The sequence below is a fragment of the Homo sapiens genome, chromosome 11, assembly GCF_000001405.40.
Source record: "Homo sapiens chromosome 11, GRCh38.p14 Primary Assembly".
In the NCBI taxonomy this organism is placed as follows: domain Eukaryota; kingdom Metazoa; phylum Chordata; class Mammalia; order Primates; family Hominidae; genus Homo; species Homo sapiens.
In genome coordinates, this window is record NC_000011.10 from 96,058,940 (window position 1) to 96,079,037 (window position 20,098).

At 40.8% G+C, this 20,098-nt stretch overlaps 1 protein-coding gene across 3 annotated transcripts in view, besides 1 other annotated feature; it reads right to left on the minus strand.

Annotated features, from left to right (window-relative positions):
- MAML2 (mastermind like transcriptional coactivator 2) overlaps window positions 1-20,098 on the minus strand; it is a 366,598-nt gene that overhangs the window by 82,342 nt on the left and 264,158 nt on the right. The window lies entirely within an intron of this gene.
- Window positions 16,936-16,995: a silencer, noted in NCBI's record as "silent region_3852". NCBI's record gives its function as "represses an Ori minimal core promoter by ATAC-STARR-seq in GM12878 lymphoblastoid cells {active_cell/tissue: GM12878}" and the evidence as "EXISTENCE:reporter gene assay evidence [ECO:0000049][PMID:35858748]".

Here is a 20,098-nt window from a genome sequence, read left to right on the forward strand (position 1 = left end):
GGCATGGTGGTGCACACCTATAATCCCAGCTACTTGGGAGGCTGAGGCACGAGAATTGCTTGAACCCGGGAGGTGGAGGTTGCAGTGGGCAGAGATCGTGCCACTGCACTCCAGCCTAGGTAAGAGAGTGAGACTCTATATCAAAAATGATAATAGCAATAAAAAATAAAAGAGGAACCTGAGGCACAGAGAGTTTAGGCAATTTACCTAGGGTAAGTTAGTAAGAAGGTACCTTGGACTCTTAGCTTGGTTCTCTTTGTCACAAATATTTACATGCATAAGATGGTAATTCTGCAAAACTATGACTTAAATGGATGATAGAATTTCATGATCACTTTAAATTTATACTTCATAATAGCACTAGGTTATAAAATAAGAGCTGCATGGCCATAGGTGAGTAGATAAAAAGCAATAGTTTAAAAAATCAATCTGGATTGTAGCTCATTCCTTGTCCATTTGCAGACTTTGAGTCAGATTTTTAAAACCCCTACTTTCTTGTTCTCTGTGCATGGTTTATGATAAATTGTAAGGTTGAGGAAAACAGAAAGAAGTCAATGTTATGTAATAAACATAGAAGTGAATAAAACTATCCTATTTCGTGTACAAGTTGAGTATCCCTTATCTGAAATACTAGGGACCAGAGGTGATTCAAATTTCTCTTTTTTGGGGGTGGGGAGGATTTTGGAATATTTGCATTATTCTTACCAGTTCAGCATCCTAATCCAAAAATCTGAAAACCAAAATGCTCCAATGAGCATTTCCTTTGAACATCATGTCGGCACTCAAAAAGTTTGAGATCTTGAAGCATTTTGAATTTTGGATTTTTGGATTAGGGATACTCAACCTGCATTTCAAAAATGTTTATTGGGAACTGGTCATGGGATAGACATTTTCCTAGTCACGAAGTACTTAAGGATGGAAGAAAAGTGGTCCTTGCCCTTGAGCATCTGACAGCCCCAAGGGAGATGTAGGATTGTAAGTAAACCACTAGATCAATGTGTTAAGTGCTAAAAGAGAAATATGCTAAAAGGTGCTGGGGGATCCTAACATTTATCTCTGCTGAAGGCGAAGATGTTCAATAAGCTAGTGGGTCTAGTTGGTTGAATAAAGCCAAGAGGGAAGAGGAAGAGTACTTCAGGTCCAGGGAACAGCACAAAGGCATGAAGGAATAAGAGCTTCATGTGGTAGAAGCTGTTATGGTAAAGTGAGGCAAGAACTTTATGTGTTCAAGTTGAAAATCGTTTTGTAAGGTTATAAATGCAATAACTAAAGAAATGTATGATTAAATTTTCTGGCACCATTTTAAGTAGACAAAACATGCAGTTAAGCTTTTCAGAAAAACTAGTAAATTTTACAGTACAGTAAACCAGTGATGTTTCTAATATACCAAACAGGATTCAATTGATTTGGAACCTATTCTTGTGTTATTTAAAATGACTTCCTCAATTTACAATTTTTTGTCCCTATGTCTCTATACGTGGATCCGGACTTGTTAGACCATTTGTTCTATTTTTTTTTTTCCAGAAAAGATCACTATTTATGTTATCGCCCAGTACAAAATCACCCACATATCTATTTTATGACATTTCAAATATAACAGAAACACTGAAGCATGCACAGAGGCCCCAGATCTAAATGAAAAGACCTAATGAGAAGAAAGTGGGAATTTAAGTGAAAATTGCACGGTAGCACACTTCTGTGAGTACAAATGTGCTGCAATTCGTTAAAGCTGAGGCCTTCTTTTTGGAGACCAAAGTGCCATTTCAATGCTACTACTCCCTGGGAGAAAATTAGGGTTCTTTGGCAATAAAATCACCTCTTTAAAATCACTGCCAAGTTTTAGTTTATTAGATGGTAGTCTTGTGGCTGAGATCTAAGAGTTCTTCCTTTTAATACTGTAACAAAGCAGTAGCTCAATGGATAATATAATTCTGTTTTTTTAAAAACATAACTTGTTTTTCATGAGGCCAGTCTAAAGAAGCATTCTTCCATGTCATAGAAAGAGAGACTGAGAACTCAAGAGGTTTAGTGATCTCTGGGTCTGATGAGAAAGTGGACCTAGAACGAGCTTTCTTAATCCCCAAGTTATTCTGGCTCTGAAATATAAACAGACACATACATGAAAGAAAGCAAAATGAAGGGCAGCTGTGCTCCTGTGTATCTGATGATCGGGAACAATAATTGTTTGTTCTATGATTTCTCCTTAAGGAACTTCTCTGCAGGTTGTCGAATTCCCAAGAAAATATTCACATAAGGGATTCATTTAGAAATCCTGTGAATTTGTCTTAAGCAAAATGACAGTTATTCTTTTGATTACCAGAAGTAGTCTGCTTGGATTATTCTTCCCCTCTGGCTTTTCTGGATGCAGAGATGGTGCAATTTCAACAGTTGGGTGAAGGACAGAAGTTCACATGACAGTGTGTGCATCTGAAGGTGACTGAATGCTGTTTGAAATGAGCTGGAGGCAGGAAAGCCATGCAATGCAGGTTCCTTTTTCTGAACAATGTCTCAGGAGAGGAAAATATAAAGGTGAAAATAAATTTGAGAAGATAAATACGGTTCCCTGTTAAGTGCATCAATTGTTAAAATAGAGAGAAACCAGAAATCAGAATTGCTTCCTTGGAATATAGGTGCCTACTACCAGCCCATTTTTGACATCAGAATGTCATGACATGAATAAAGAGCAGAAGATCCACAAATCCTACAAGACAGGCCACTTTCCTCCTAGATAAAAGGCATAACAACCCGTAATTCAGAATTTCAAAAGTAATTTTTTCAGATAAGAAATTTCCATTTCAAACAAAACTTTCCTTTTTCCTTTTCTTTCCTCCTTTTTCTTCTTCCCTTCTTCTTTTCCTTTTTTTTTAATATCTTAATTTTTCTTTCTGTTAGGGGAAAGTATCTTAAATTTATCCTGCTTACTCTTAATACACCTCATAGATATACATTCCAAGTAAGGTGAATCAGATGTTTAACGTGAAAGCTTTGTTCAGCATAGACATTTCACTGAATATAAACCACATAGCAAAATGCGAAACTATCATACTATGAGAGACGAGTTCCACTTTAAGCATTATTTATAGAAAAAAGTGCATATTTTAAAGAAAAAATGATGATTTTAATCATCTTAAAACATTCTACCACTTTAGTAGTCTTTTCTGATAAATTTAATCAATTAAGATAAAATAAGTTGAAAGGGAAGGTTGGAGTATGGTACTTTTTTTTTGCCTTGGTTTGTGTTACATGGAGTGACTCAAAGGAAACAGAAAATTACTACAACTGTGATGTGGCATTTATAATAAGTGCCTCAACCTCATATTGCCCAGACATTAGGAGATTTAACTGGTAATGCCAGTGAGATGATGTAGTATTTCCTGTACTGTTTTAACTTCTCAATAAGCATGTAGACACTGCAGTGAAGTGCAGGTAAAAAGTTCACAGCTGGAGGGGGTGTATAGGAAGTGCTCTGCAAAGCTATAAGCTTACATAGGCATCCAGCTGGAAATAACCTTGTAACAGTGGAGGAGGGAAATACACATGGTAATGATTTACAATTTACAGAATGTGGATTTTAGGGGCTACAATAAGGGTGGCAGAGTTTTCTCTCAAAGGGATTCTGAAATATGGAGTGGTGGAAGGAAGGGAAATGTAGAATCCAGTTAACAAAGCTGGGAGCACTTTAAGAGTATGCCTGCTAATTTTACCTCTTAGACAGGATATCCAGGAGGCAGCGCCCCTTCCCACCAGCAGCTCTCCTTATCCAAAGGGTGCCCAGTCCATTTTTAACATCTGTTTCAAATGTCACATCACAGAGATGTGGTCACTCCCTTTTTAAAAATTTCACCTAGAATTTTGTACCTAAGAACATTTTTTGTTCCTGAGCCTTCTTTAACTGTGACCCCTTCAACTTCTGCCGCCATGAGATTATATTGTTTCGATGACAAGGGACTGTGTCTTACTCATCTCTATTATACTGAAGCCAAATATGATTATGTTGCCAACCCCCCAACCTAATAACAGCTTTTTCAATGGCTTCCCATTGATTTTAGGATAAAACCCAAAACAAACTCTTTAGTATGGCTTATACTCATACAAAGTCTTTTATGATTTGGTGCCCGTCTCAGTCCACCCCTCTGTCCACCTCTCTGGCACTTTGGTGATTTTTCTTTCCCAGTACATTCCTGCTGTCTCACTTCTTGGCCTTGCACGCATTGCTCCTTGGCCTGGGACATGCTGTACACCTATCTCCACCTCTGTTGCTGACTCTGTCCTCAGGGTTCACAATCTTCTGTAGGGGCCCCTTCCTTAACCTCAGAGTTATGCATCTGCACACTCTTTTATGCTTCTCCCTCTCATAACTTGTTCTTTGTTTTATTACTCACTCAGTATTGGTTTTCCCAGCTAGACTGCAGGTTCTGAGAAGTTAGGGGCTGTCTCTGCCTTTTTAGCACTGTACCCACAGTGCCTGGGGCATGTAGCTTGAATGCATGGTTCTACTATATAAGAACTCAATAAATTTTATTTTTTGATTAAGTGAATGATTAATAACCACCATGGACTGAGTAGTAACTATGTATCGATGAGCATGTTAAATACTTTATACACATTATGTTACAAAATCATCACAGTAGTCCCATTATTACCCATAATATGTAATATTACTCCTATTTATAGAAAAGAGGCAATCAAATCTTAGAGAGGTTGCTAATTGCCCAGGATACCTAGCTCCAAATGAGCTGAGGGATGCTTACTCCAAAGCCTATGGCTTTTTATGGAGCTATATTGTTTCTCAAATAACTACCCAATAAATGCTCATTAAAAACAAAACAAAACAAAAAAGTGTAAAAACTTGTGACTATATCAGCTTCTTCCAGTTTGAGAATCTCTCTGTTATTGCATTTGATTTGCAAATTTAGTCTAAATATTCTTTTTTGCCTGTTGATACGATGTCTGCAGGACTAGAGTTCAACCAAGGGCCTCAGTTCTGTTCAGATGCTCCCTGTGTGATTAGAAGTGAGATGAGTTCATGTCTGTAAAATAAGCCAAGAATGGCCAGGACATCTTTTACCTAAGATTTCCAAGCCTCCTGATTGGCTGGCTGTAGGATGTTGTTGTACAGTGCCTTCTAACTCTATTTTCCTGAAGATACATGATTCAGTGTAATGCCAGGTTAGTACCAAGGCTCCTAAGCACGGCAATATTTACCCTACAAATTACGAAAAATATAAAATTAGGTCACAGCACAGCACCTCAATATAAGAAAATTCCCAACCAGCAGGGTGATTCAGTAATGAACCATCTGTGTTCCTGGATGGATCATCTGTGTTCCTGGGCAGATGGATGGAAGCAAAAGCTAGGTGGCCATTGGTCAAGTCCGCTCTAGAAAATAATAAGTTCACTGGTCATGTCTCCTCTAGAAAATATTCATTAGACAAGAGGACTTCTAATGTTCCCTCAGATTCTCTAAGAAGGAACATTTGATAAAACATTTATGTAAGTTATTCTGATAGTTTGTCCGAATGTGGAAAAATAGTTGTATATGTATATATGAAGAGCCCAAACTTTGGATTCAGATGTTACTAAGTTCAAGTCCTTACTCTGACCTTATAGCTATGCATCTTTGGCAAATCTTTGGGGATCTTTCCACCTCAGTATTCTTTTCTACGAATAATAAAGTTCACTATTATATTTGTAGAGGGCAATATATTCAGACTGTGGACTATACCAAGTGCATGATTTTGTGTAAGTTAATTAACCCACATGCACTTCAGTGTGTCATAAAATGTGGAGGGTAACAGTATCTTCTTCAAAATAGCGTGTGAGGGTGAAAGGAACTAACAATGTAAAGTGCTTAGAACAGTGCCTAGCACAAAATAAATCTTCAATTGGTTTTAATTATTAATGTTAACATAATCTTGGAAACAACTGATTTTTTCTCGCTTTTCATATAGAAGTTTTATATTTTATAAACTTGATCATTGTCATTTTGCTTGAACTCTAAGTGTAGAATAAAAGTTAGAAGTTTAAAAGTGATTAGAATTCATGCCATAAACCAAGAAGCCAACATCTCAACAAAGTACTGTGTTCTTAAAAAACTAGAAGGAATGTTTTTGTGTCAAAGTGGACAGAAAATAGCTTTTCCCCAGAACCTAAAGTATCTGAACAAAATTGATCTTTAAGAAAACAATTTGGGAAATGTTCTGAATATATCTGATAGATTTTAAAATGCTTAATTACATTTTAAAAAGCTTCAAGAAAAGTTGCTATGAAAATTGCCCTCGTTTTATCAAATATTTATTCCAAAGCAAATATAAAAAAATAGAGAGAAGTTCTTGTAATATACCCAGGATAGCAATTGTTAGTTTCCATGGCATATCAGGGCAAAGTATGTGATTTTAAAAAAATATCTCCTGTGTCAGTCCTGGTATACAGCACTCTCTCCCTTTCTCTCTCTAGTGCACATGCGTGCGTGCATGCACACACACACACACACACACACACACAGGAAAGAAAATAGAGCAAAGAACCCTGGTTTAGCTGTTAGCTTCCCAAAGTTATTTGGATAACAACTTAGAGAATCTAGCAAGAAGAATCATGATTCATTCCATAAATCTCTCTAGTATTCATAAAGGATGATCCAGGTCTTGTCTGATTCTGGGAGTTGCCATTTATTGTGACCTTTTTATATGCCAGGAACTACAGTAACTGCTTGTCATAAGTGGTATTACTTAATCCTTATAACAATCATGTGTGGTGGGTATTATTCTCATTTTACAGTGATGGAACACAGAGAATTTAGGTACCTTGATGACGGTCACACAGCTAGGAATTGACAAAGCCAGGATTTGAACCAGAGCCCATCTGACTACAAAGCTGAGGCTGTCAGTTGCTGCTCTGTGCTGCCTTGCACTGGGAGAACATGGCAGAGCTGGTGCTGCTGGGATAGGGCAGGCTCCCAGCATTCCACCTGCTCTTGTGCTGGGCCCAGGCGCAATAGGAAACTGGTTAGGTTGGGCTTTGATCCACACATTCTCCTGCATCGAATCCCCCTTTTCTCCCCAATCTCTTCTAAAGAAAGACTGAAAACTCGCTCCAAGAAAAGTGTCAATGACTGCTAATCACCTAATTACCCCTCTTATGGCTCTGGAGCTCAACAAGCAGCCACACCAGTGGTCCTTCAGGAATCTTTTCCACAGGGTGTAGGAAGAGGTATCTTGTTTTCCTTAAGCCCAAGGCTGGCCCTTCCTATCACTGCCTAGTCCTTGCTGATCTAAGCATCAGTGCTGAAGGGTCCTGTCACCAATAGTGCCAATGAGTCTGTAAATAGTGTCATCGTGTTAAATGACTCACTGGGGCTGGCACACACTGACATTCTGAGGGCACAAGGCAGAGCCCCATCTTTGTCCAGGGGAGGACAGAAGCTCCTGAAGCGGGAGAAGATCAAGGTCTCCATCCTCAAAGGACCCTCTGCCCACTGTGGCTCAATGTGTGTGGGAGAAGGGACACAGAGGATGAATAAAATTATATAGGTGGACTGGACAACACACACTTGGCCTTGAGCTACCTATATTTAGACACTTACTCTATATTGATGTTGAATCTAATGATGTTTCCTTGGATAAGAGTTTAGACCTAAAGTGAGACCAGAGTCCATTGAATCCCATAGGAATGAATTATAATAAAGAGTAGGATGAAAAGTCTTTTATTTTTCAGCAAATATTAATTAAACATTTATTATGTGCCAGAAACCCTTTGAGGTGCTAGGAATATGACAGTGAACAAAACTAGGAAGGCTGCAGCTTTCATGGTGCTTAACTTCTAGTGAAGACAGACAGATACTAACAAAAACACAAGTAAATAGAACAGAATGTCCAAAGGTGATAAAGGCTATGGAGACAAATAAACCCAGGTAAAAAGAAGAGAGGTGCAGGGGGAAAGGAAAGAGCAAAGACTCTGAGATGGGCTTGTACTTGGTGCATTCTGGGAAGGCAGGAGCGGCTGGAGGATAGAGAAATAGAGAGAGCGGAGGGAGCTGTGGTAGGAGCAGTGGGCAGTGTGTGTGCACACGCATGCATGATGTGGTAGGCAGATCTTGTAGGGCCTGTGAGGACTTTGCCTTTCACACCTAGTGAGATGGGAAACCAGTGGAGGGTTCTGAGTGGGGAGGAGACATCACAGAACACATAGCCAGAGTCCCTTGTGACATATCACAAACAACACCTAACATGCCTTCCCAAACCAAAACACTAGCCTTGCCCTTCAGAACTGTTTCTTCTGCTGGTAGCTACCATTTGCATGCATTTTTCTCAAGCCATAGCATCTCCAGAATCAATGTTCATCTGTCCAGTGTAGCCTGACACTCTTTTAAAAACAACTCTTCAAGACACGGACTGCCTTTCAAAATGCCTTCTTCCGCCAACAGAGCACACATTTAGAGAAGTAACAAAGGCCATTTCTATCCAAGCAAACGTGTTTCTTGCAGCCAACAGCATAGCCTTATAACAGTAATGTTTCTATTTCAGAGAGTAAATCTATCATCTCAGTAACAACCCTTTAAAACACAAAGTTATCACATGATCTTCTTACTCTATGCAGGATAAGTCAAGACCCAACAAATGAAACACTTCTCCTGGAAATTATATCCCATTTGGTTTTTTTTTTAAATCATCTTTTAAACCTGTCATTGGTAAACCAGATTTAGAACATTAGAACTGCTGCAAAGATTTGTTATGAGAAATCTACTGAGGGTCTATTGAGTTATTTGAATATGATATTTCACATTAATATGGACATTAAAACAGAGACATGACAACGCATATCCGTGACTGCCTCTCTTGCTCTAATTTTCATTTCAAACCCATATTACTTATACATTCCCAAAGAACAACTTCAAATATTATATTTTGCAAGCTTGTGTTTTCAAATTGCTGATTTAAAGGTCTTCTTGACCTTTGTACAGAATTCTAACATTTTTTTCCTGCTTTGTTGGCCTGAGGGTGGTGATAGAATCAAACATGTTTATAAATAGGGCCAAATAAATTGAAAATTTTTTCCTGAGAGAGAGAGTTTTATGAAGAAAATACCTGCCCAAGTTCGTTTTTTAAAAATCCCTCACCCACTGACATTTCTGGTTCAACAAGTTTTCTTCTTAATGTAGTTAAATGTCAACAAAAGTGTTACTGCTTAATTATCTGAGTATCCTGAGTCATAATAATGCATATATCACTTCACTTAGGAAATGTCTTTTCTCAATTAAATTAGCTGTTTTCACTAGAATCCTTAGTCAGCCAATGGAAAAAATAATTTTCCCCCTTATGACTTTCTCTACTACAATAATTGACCTGGGTTCGTTGTCTTTGATATTACAGAAGAAAGTCTGACTTTTCAAATACAGAGGTAAAGTAAGTCTATGAACCTATGAACTTCACTTTTGGTACTTCCCCTAGAACAGCAGTTCTCAGCTCTGATGCACAGTAGAATTTCCTGGGGGAGCTTACTTCACACACACACACACACACACACACACACACACACACACAGAGGGAGGGAGGGAGAGAGAGAGAGAGAGGCCCAACCTGAAGAGACTCTGACTTAATTGGTCTTGGGTAAGCCTGGGCATTTTTTAAAAGTACGTATTTTAGCACTTTGGGAGGCCAAGGTGAGCGGATCATGAGGTCAGGAGATCGAGACCATCCTGGCTAACACGGTGAAACCCCGTGTCAACTAAAAATACAAAAAAAATTAGCTGGGCATGGTGGCAGGCACCTGTAGTCCCAGCTACTCAGGAGGCTGAGGCAGGAGAATGGCGTGAACTCAGGAGGCAGAGCTTGCAGTGAGCTGAGATGGCGCCATTGCACTCCAGCCTGGGCGACAGAGCAAGACTCCTTCTCAAAAAAAAAAAAAAAGAAGGTATGTATTTTAGCTTGAGAACTATAGATAAAAAAGAAGCGATAATTTTTCCTTCCTTCTTCCCTCCTTTTTTTTTTTTTTTTTTTTTTTAAAGAGACAGTCTTCCTCTTCCATCTAGGCTGGAGTGTGGTGGTGTGATCATAGCTCACTGCGGTCTCAAACTCCTGGGTTTATGTGATCCTCCTGTCTCAGCTTCATGAGTAGCTAGGACTACAGGCTACAGGCATGTGCCACCAGCCCAGCTAGTTTTTAATTTTTTTGTAGAGATGGGGTCTCACTATGCTGTGCAGGCTGGTCTGTAACTTCTGGCCTCAGGCAATTTTCCCACCATGGTCTCCCAAAGTGTTGGCATTACAAGGGTGAGCCACTGAGTCTGGCCTATTTTCTTCCTTTCCCTCCCTCCCTCCCTTCCTCCCTTCCTCTCTTTCTTTTCTCTTTCTTTGTCTTTATCCTTCTTTCTTTTCTTCTCCTTTTTCTTCCTTTGTTTTCACCTATAGTGACTATTTGAAGCATTTCTATTTTTTAATTAAGATAAACAAAATTGGCTGGGCGAGGTGGCTCACGCCTGTAATCCCAAAACTTTGGGAAGCCGAGGTGGGCAGATCATTTCGGCCCAGAAGTTTGAGACCAGCCTGGGCAACATGGTAAAACCCCATCTCTACAAAAAAAGTACACAAAAATTAGCCGGGCGTGGCACATGCCTGTAGTCTCTCAGCCACTGGAGAGGCTGAGGTGGGAGGATCACTAGAGCCCAGGAGGTTGAGACGGCAGTGAGTCGCCATAATGCCAGTGCACTCCAGCTTGGGTGAGAGAATGAGTCCCTATCTCAAAAATAAATGAATAAATAATAAAATTCATATAAATAATAATGTAACTTTAGAAGATCTAATTACAGGCAGGGCGCAGTGGCTCACACCTGTAATCCCAGCACTTTGGGAGGCCGAGGCGGGCGGATCACAAGGTCAAGAGATGGAGACCATCCTGGCCAAGATGGTGAAACCCCGTCTCTACTAAAAATACAAAAATTAGCTGGGTGTGGTGGTGCGTGCCTGTAATCCCAGCTACTTAGGAGGCTGAGGCAGGAGGAATCACTTGAACCTGAGAGGCGGAGGTTGCAGTGAGCCAAGATCACGCCACTGTACTCCAGCCTGGTGACAGAGTGAGACTCTGTCTCAAAAATAAATAAATAAATAAATAAATAAGGAGGCCAAGGCAGGTGGATCACGAGGTCAGGAGATCGAGACCATCCTGGCTAACACAGTGAAACCCCGTCTCTACTAAAAATACAAAAAATTAGCCGGCGTGGTGGCGGGCGCCTGTAGTCCCAGCTACTCGGGAGGCTGAGGCAGGAGAATGGCGTGAACCCGGAAGGCAGAGCTTGCAGTGAGCTGAGATGGCGCCACTGCACTCCAGCCTGGGCGACACAGCGAGACTCCGTTTCAATAAAAATAAAAATAATAAATAAATAAATAAGGCATAACAAAAACAGGGCTGAAACATGCCCCTTGTTCACCACATTGCAGGTGAAGAGAAGGAGAGAAGAGCTGCAGCCCCTTAGGGAGCCCAGACCTGGGAGCTTCCCAAGCCAGGGCTGGGACTCCCTCTTTGGGGTCCTGCGGTGCCTGTCATCTCCAAGCTTCTGGGCACCACTGTGTTCCCTGGTGCTAGCCAGGGAAGCTGCTTGCAGTGCCTCTGGTCCAGCTGCAGCCTTGCAGAGAGCTGGTACCTGTGTAGGCACCTGGAGCTGCCCACCCCACTGGCGTGTCTGCCTGCACAGTTGCCAGACCCCGTGCTCGTTCACACACCCTTTTCTGCTCCATGCGACTTGCCCTTGGCAAGTGTGGGATCCAGGTCGGTAGTGTGAGCTGAGCACAGCCTGCTGAGTGGGCGGAACAAGCCCAGTGGGCCGAACAAAACTCAGGCAAAAGTGCCACTGGCCAGAGGTTTCAGGCCTGAAAGGCCACACCTCAAGGATCCTGTAACACAACTATGGGATGCACACAGCTATGTGTTCAGTGCAGGCAGCAAATAAATCTCATTTTAATCTCATGGGTACTAACTACAAAAGGTCTTTGACTTTTTCCTATTGTGTATCTCTGTCTTCACTGGTTAATTTGTTGTTACTTCAGCATCTCTTGTGTAGCTGAGATTTGAATACACCTGCCAGGTGGAAATAGATGAGCCTTCCCTCTAGATATTTACATGAAAGCTAAGGGGCCTTCTGAGTGGAGAAGGTGGGTAGAGGCTTAAGCTGTATTCCTAATTTATTTTCAGTTATTTAGGCATATATGCAGAATGGGACAAGAGTCAAAAGGAAACCAAGTTTTCAGGAGGGACTGGAGCTTCCCGAGGAAATAAAACTATGAAGAACTGTAGAGTCTGGTATAAACAGGGTGCTTCAGCTATAAGACCACAGAGTCAAAGGGCAGTGATTTTGCCAGCATGGCACTGGCACCTGGAACCGTCCTGAACCAGCCATCCTGGCTGTATGTGACCTAGCAAAGGAAAGAGCTGTGTGGAAAATGAAAGAGATGTCACACTAAACTTGGAATTATTTTGAAATCCACAGCCCATGGAGACGTGTAGCTCCAGGCAGTATTGGCCAGTCGGCCCACAGTGTAGCCTGGAGTGGCAGCTGCTAGTATTCAGCAGTTGCTCCTATTTAGGAGAGCTTGTCAAACTCTTGTTTTGGACTCCCAAATACCTGGGGTATAGTTGAGGGTTAGGAGTAACTTTGAACAGGATTGGAATTCTCAAATGAGAAGGTGCAGTAGAAAGGTTGTAACCTGTGAGAATCTGGTCTTGATGTTCTGTAACCTCATGGACTGGTAGACTGAAAAGACTCATGGATATTTAGGTGCACTGGAATTTATTTTTAAATTCTCCAGTCACCAAATCTCATCTCCATCTTTATTACTCCAAAGGCCTTCTTTTCTTTTTCCTCCCCAGTCCATCCTGCATATACCTAACATAGAGGGATACATTAAAACAGGTCAACACAACATATTGCCACTGGCCATTTTGAAGATTGGCTGTCTTTGTAGAAAAATCACCCCTTAAGGCAGACTTCTCTAATTGCACTGCTGGATTGTTAGAGATGAGTCCGTCTTCAGTTATCTTGATTGTTGAGCCAAATATACCATAAATCCTCAAAATGTATATTGTATTTTTTTTAAAGTTAGGTGGGGCGTAAGATTTTACAGGATGTAGAAATGTACTTAATTAGTTCAGCCTTGAAATAATTATTCTTTAAAAAACTGAAAATTTCAAGTAGCTATAGAATATCTCTAATTCCTCTCTGGCTACCATTATTTCCAACATGCAGTGTTCTTACATAGCCCACTTGCCAAAAAAAAAGCTCTTGTTATAAGGTTAAGGCCACATTTCTGTGTAGTTAAAACTTTGCTTCAGGGTATGTCCTGACTGCATATAGGTTAATGGAGCACTGCATGTTTCTTATACAATATTACCTGCATACTTGCTAATACTCGAATTCTAGAGATTCACTGGGGGATACAAATGGATCCAGCATTGATCTTGAAATCAGAAGTTCACAGTTCTAATCAGGTTTCTGAGTAGTGAATGAACTTAGAGAGAAGCTATTAAATTTCTCTTACATATATAAAAAGGGAATAATGATTTTACTAGAAACGTCTCTAAGATTCACACCACCTCTGATATTCTGAACCTAAATTTGAGTATTTACATAGTTTACATAAAGTAAGCTCTTTTGCATCAACGGACAGGGTGGCATGCAGGTAAGGAAGAAAAGGAAGAAGACGGAGTCCCCTCAACTTGAAAGAGCTCGCTGTCAAGGAGAAGGCCACTTACTGAAAGACCTACCTCATTTTAAGGACGGATTGATTACAAAGTGAACCCTGGATGGGACCAGAGATCCAACCTCATGCCAAAAGGACTGTGTGTCTAAAGCAATGACGCCAAAGCCGGCCTCTTACCCTGCTCTGCCAAAGGAAACAAGAAGGCAAATCCGCAAGTCTCCCAACATGATAAACTCCATTTGTCACCCGCTTACATGTGCCTCCAAGACTAAACTTGTCTCATGGTGGCTCCATTTCAGTTAAGTACTTTTAGACCTCAGTCCAAACCCCTTCTCTTAGGATTTGGCTCAAACTATTGATAATCATAAATTTCCATATTTATATTTCCAATCTGTGAGGACTTAAAAAAACTATTATGGAAACCAAGTACAATCTTAGGGAACAGACTGTGTATTTAATTTACACAATGAAACTTGGGCTGTAGCATTAATACTGTAACAATACTGAATAATTTAACTGAAGTGTATTACATTCTTTGTGCTGTAAATCTTTTACTTGTGAGTTTTGTGCAAAATCACCAATTTAGCCTTGCATAAAAGCTTTTGTTTGGCATTTACAGTCTCCTGTCCCTTGGACACCTCCTCCATTTAAAAAAATTAGAATTCCTTGTTGCAGATTCATTTCTTTTCTTTTCTTTTTTTTTTTTTTTTTTTGAGACAGTCTCGCTGTGTTGCCCAGGCTGGAGTGCAGTGGTGCTATCTCAGCTCACTGCAAGCTCCACCTCTCGGATTCACACCATTCTCCTGCCTCAGCCTCCCAAGTAGCTGGGACTACAGGCGCCCGCCACCATGCCTGGCTAATTTTTTGTATATTTAGTAGAGACGGGGTTTCACTGTGTTAGCCAGGATGGTCTCGATCTCTTGACCTCATGATCCACCTGCCTCTGCCTCCCAAAGTGCTGGGATTACAGGTGTGAGCCAATTAAAGGAGTCATGGCAGCTGAAGACAATGACGATTTAATGGAGTGAAGCCGATCTACTATCTTGGGTGGAAAGAGTATGATGTGGTTGGCAGTGCCTTCCACATTCCAGTTAGCCGAGTGCTGTAAAATATTAACACCAACACTGTAATAAAGTAGAAGGTGATACGGCTCTGGTTGGCTATTTATTTACTTATTTGGTAAGTTCCAGTATTGTGCTTAGAATGTACAGGTAAAAGGATCTGTGTAGATTGTGCAGGCTAATGGTGTTCTGTGGACGTGTGTTCATTTCTGAATAAGTTTTTGTTTGCTAAAGGAACTGAAAAAAATAAGATTCATGCAAGGGATTTACCAAACCGTTAAATTTATTCACTTTTCAAGGACCATCGCTTACTCTGAGGTTATGTTCGTCTCAATGCTTTCAGGCTAAAAAATATTTTTTTTCATGAAAGATGGTAATAGTAGGCAGTAGTTTTGATTTTTAATGTACTTACACAGAAAAATGAAATATAGCAAATCCATGTCCGCTTCCATACTATAAGATGTAAAAGTCTGAGGACCACTCAACTGACTATCCATTTCATTGTATTTTTAGGGAAACTGAGGCAGAGTGGCTAACTGCTTGCATGCAGTCACCCAGCTAGTCAGTTCCACTGATGCCGTGTGGCTTTCGATAAGCTCAGATTCTCAAAATACAGCAGGTGTGTGAAGGACAGTATATGCTGTACCTAACAAGTTCAAAGAGTTACCCAGAAACTATTGTCATGTTGTTTTCTGTTTATCAAACTCTTATTTGCAGTCTTTTTGGTCACATGAGAGTTTCATCAGATATCTGCAAGATGTAATTTCTCTCCCAAAACCCCAAGGAAATGCTATCAAAAGATTCATGTCTTCAATAGATTCTATTCTTGGAGAGGTTAATATGGAGGAAAGATCCATGGTCAGTCCACATTTTGTGCAGATGACGATGGCGGCGCAAAGCCACCTGAAGTCATTCACCTTTGCAACTGCATTTGGATTCTATATTGTCTGCATCAGGCATGGAGACGCCCACCGGCTGCTGTGAGAGGAATAAAAGGAGTACTGACAAACGTCATCATACAAAAAAGGTTTCAAATCATTTTTGACACCAGAATAAAAGTTAGATTCCTGTGTCTGTCTGAGATTTCGAGTTATCTTTCTAAATGGCTCTCTAATCGCATCAGCAAACCCTCAGGGAAGAGCCTTCACTTCCTTTCTGTTGTCTGTTAAGCCAAGCACACCCAGAGTGGTCAATAAATAATACTGTGGGAGTACTGGAGGGCAGGGAGTGGTGTTGCATATTTTGCTTTTGATTTTTCCTCTGGAAAAAAAGATGAATTAAGTGACAGAGTGGCAAAAGGAGTAGGCAACAAAGAAACATAGCCGGAAACTTGAGCGTGACTCTTAATTTCACTCTTTTTAGAGCTTTAATGCAAATCCAATTATGTATTTGCTTTCAGTTCTGAAGGTGAGAAATTCGAGGTTAGACATCACAAAGCTAATACATAGATTCCCTAGAGAGGATATTGATAATATTTCATGTTTTCCTCCTGACATAATATTCCCCCAAGTGAAATCCATTGCCTATTATTATTGATACTGTGCTATCCTGGTAGCAAACTTGAAATGTAAGGAAATAGGATTCTGTTCATTATTTCTTACCAGTAAAATTAATGAATCAGAGAAGAAGCTAATGTAGGTCTGTTTTATCACTAAGGTGCTCAGAAGTTCAACCTTCCTTTTGTTCTCCTTTAGAGAAGCTGTACTTACAAGCATTGCAAAGTCTGACAAATTGTATGGTGTCTATTATTATCTGTCTGTCTCCTTCCCAGACAGGGCAGGGATTCTATCTTCTCTATTTTCATACCCTCCAAGACCTAACACAAGCCAATAATATTCCATCAACCATCGAACACATATTTAAGTGCCTACAGAGTGCTAGGGAGTGTGCTGGGTGCTGGGGACTGAAAGAGGGAAGACAGATAATTCTGGAAGGTATAATGTAAAAGAAGAGAAGAGCTGAGCTAGGGGAAGTCGGGTGGGGGTGGATTTGTCTGAGTGGCTTCCCAAAGGAAGTGATGTTTAAGGGGAAACCTGACTGATGAATAGGAGTTTCCCCAAGTTCTCTTTTTCTTTGTCTTTTCAGGTTACTGGAAAAGCTAGTGAGGTTTGTGGCTGGTATCATACTGTTTAATGTGTCATCTGCTACCATGGTCAATGTGACTCTTACTAATCGGCATTCAGATAGCGCCTTGCATATTGATTGTATGCTAATACATTTGAGCCAGTTGGCCTTGCTATGTGACATTCTCATGCTTCCCCAAACGTGAACACTGAAGTGAACCTTGGGTGGCCCTGCTTTGTGGATCACATATCTCCCACATCTCTACTTTCAGAATAAATTTGTTAATACATTCTCCTCTCTCCTGCAAGGCCTAGATAGAAGAAACTCTTAATTTAAAATATTACAACAGAAAGTTATTCTGCCTTTTGCCAAGAGGTGTGATCCTCATAGTCGTTTGAAATATCATCAAGCTGAGTCTCACAGATGCTCAGGGGTGAAAGAAATATGTGTAAAACCTGGAGGTATGAATGGTGTGCATCATGTATTGTATGCATGAGCAGAAACACCAGCCTTGGAGAGAAACACCAGCTTTGGAGAGACACACCAACCTTGGAGAGACACACCAGCTCCCCTCTTACTCTGTTTACTGTTTTCTTTCTGTGAAATTTAAAATTGATTCCATGTGTACTATAATGCAAGCAATGGGGCAAGGCTGCTCTCTTTTGTCTCTCTCTCTCTCTCACACACACACACACACACACACACACACACACACACACACAGCCCTTCAGAGCTGCCTGCTTAACTTCTCACAGCAACTTCCTCCACTCGGATGGGCTGTGGTCCCTGAGGGAAGCCTCGGCATCTGAATTTGGCAGGGAATCCCATTCCCATGGAAGTCAGGGCTGCCCTCACTCCCAAGGAACAGCCTGGGGAGGTTCTCACACATTTGCCTCTGGCTTCACTACAGAATATGTACACTCAAAGGGGACAATAGAGGGGTCTCCCACACCCCACAACTCATGCAGACCCACAGACAGTTGGGAACGTCTTGCTCTGAATATGAGGAAAATGAGATCTATGTGAATCTTCACCAGGCCACAGCTCATACTTCTTGCTGCTGTCTATAAATGAATGTTAGCAGCACTTTACATATCAAAATTGTCCAAGTGGGACCTGACCTTTGGGCCTTTGGATCCATGTTGCATTCATAGCCATTTAGATCTGACCCCATTTCAAGTGTTCAGAAAAATGAGAAACAATTTTACAATAGCAAAATTGGGCCCTCCAACCCTTCCCCACAAAATTGAATGAAATACAAGGAGGAAAAACAAATGGAGATATTTGTGAGAATGACTGACTTCCTTCTGCAAACAGAAATGGGCAAGTTATCAGAGTTAAAATTGCCTTATAAAGTATCTTTATACAGCAGAAGAGATCATCAGAAATGCATTTTTTGGCTCAAATTTCCTTTTATTTCTCCCTTGGGATCTCTCTTTCTGACTTTTTACCCCAACTCTCTCTCTCTTTTTTTTTTTTTTTTTTTTAAAGACAGTCTCGCTCTGTCACCCAGGCTGGAGTGCAGTGGTGCGATCTAGGCTCACTGCAACCTCTGCCTTCTGGGTTCAAGTGATTTTCCTGCCCCAGCCTCCCAAGCAGTTGGGACTACAGGCATACGCCACCATGCCCAGCTAATTTTTGTATTTTTGGTAGAGACAGGGTTTCACTATGTTGGCCAGGCTGGTCTTGAACTCCTGACCTCAAGTCATCCACCCGCCTCAGCCTCCCAAAGTACTGGGATTACAGGCATGAGCCACCGCAACTGGCCTACCCCATCTTTTTTACTCTCTTTCTGGCTTTGCCAATGTAGGCAGTTTCAATTTCATTATATATGTGGGTCGAAACTTTATTTTAGGAATAATCTTGGATGTAAGACTACTACTGCTTTTTCAGAAGCAAACCATTTTGTGGACTGTACTCAGAAATGCAAAACACAGCCTCATCCACTGAGTCCTGCCTCCCAGGTCTGATGTGGAGTCCACAGTACAGGATGGGGAAGACTCTGGGTGTGGCTGCAGCGGTGGTGGGCCCTGCCTTGCCTGGTGCTCTTTTTATAGGCTATAGAAATACAACTGATGACTCAAAACTATTATATCTTGATAAATGAAATAAACAAAATTCAGTCCCTAACACTGGTGTGGATGGGCATTTGGGCAGTACCTACACTGTAAATGTCCATGCTATAAAGAACCCCTGGGAATGAAGAGCTCTGTGCTCCCTCCCAGGTGTTCTTCTGGCCAGTCTCCTTTTCTGTCTTCCCCTGGTCTGAAGGATTGTTCCTCTCTTCTATGAGAGTGCAGCTGAAAATGCTCATAGTCTCTCCATTTCGAACCTGGAGCCAGGCTGAGGTGGATGCCCCTTCTCTGTGGTTTCCATAGCAAAGTGCTCTGTGCACATCTGGGACTTACATTTCTCTCTTGTCCTGCAATTTTCCATTTCACTAAATAGATTGTATTTCTCATTCCACCACCATGCCTGGCTCAATCAGTGTACACTGAACACATCTCTTCTTTTTAAAAGAATGTAATATTCTAGAAATCATGGATAGTACACTGTGTTATCATGGATAGTACACTGTGTTATCATGGATAGTTCAATCATAGATAGTTCAATGTCATATAAGTCAAACAGACTTTGGATAGGCTAGCAGGAGGACTTAATGCACTTTCTTTAAATTGTTCCTACAGGAAAATCTGTACCAGAAATGCCAAACAACTGAATTCAAAATGAATTTCTGGAACTCAACACTCAAAATCAGAGACGGTTCAGAGAGCAGGTATCTACTGCTAATTTCTAACTAAATGAAAGGGCTTCTGCTTCTGAGAGCAATGATACCGGAACAGGAACGAAATGCTGCTAGAGAACAGTGCTGGAAGTGTGTCGACAAAACTGTCTTCTTGTTCTAGTCTATGCAACTTCCCTTGATTAATGAGAGCCATGTCTAGGTGAGAAAAGCAATCAGAGGGCTTCAGCTGTGCCAGCATAAATGGAATACATCAATGGTACTGTTGGTGCTTGCACATGAGACCTGTCAGTAAATTATCCACTAAAAAGTAATGATTCTACCTTCTTTCATTCATTTTAAATCCTATCCTATGTCTCTACTCTTTGTGCTTACTATTCTGCTTTGTTTCCAACAAGGATATCAATTCAAATTTTAAGGTGTGGAGCTTGGAGTAGTCTGCTGGTACAGCAAGCAGTAAGAAGTGTGCTTCATTCCTTCTACGTAGTGAATTTTCCACCTGTAATTCTGAAAGTCCTTTAGGCAGGAGCTAAATGTGATAA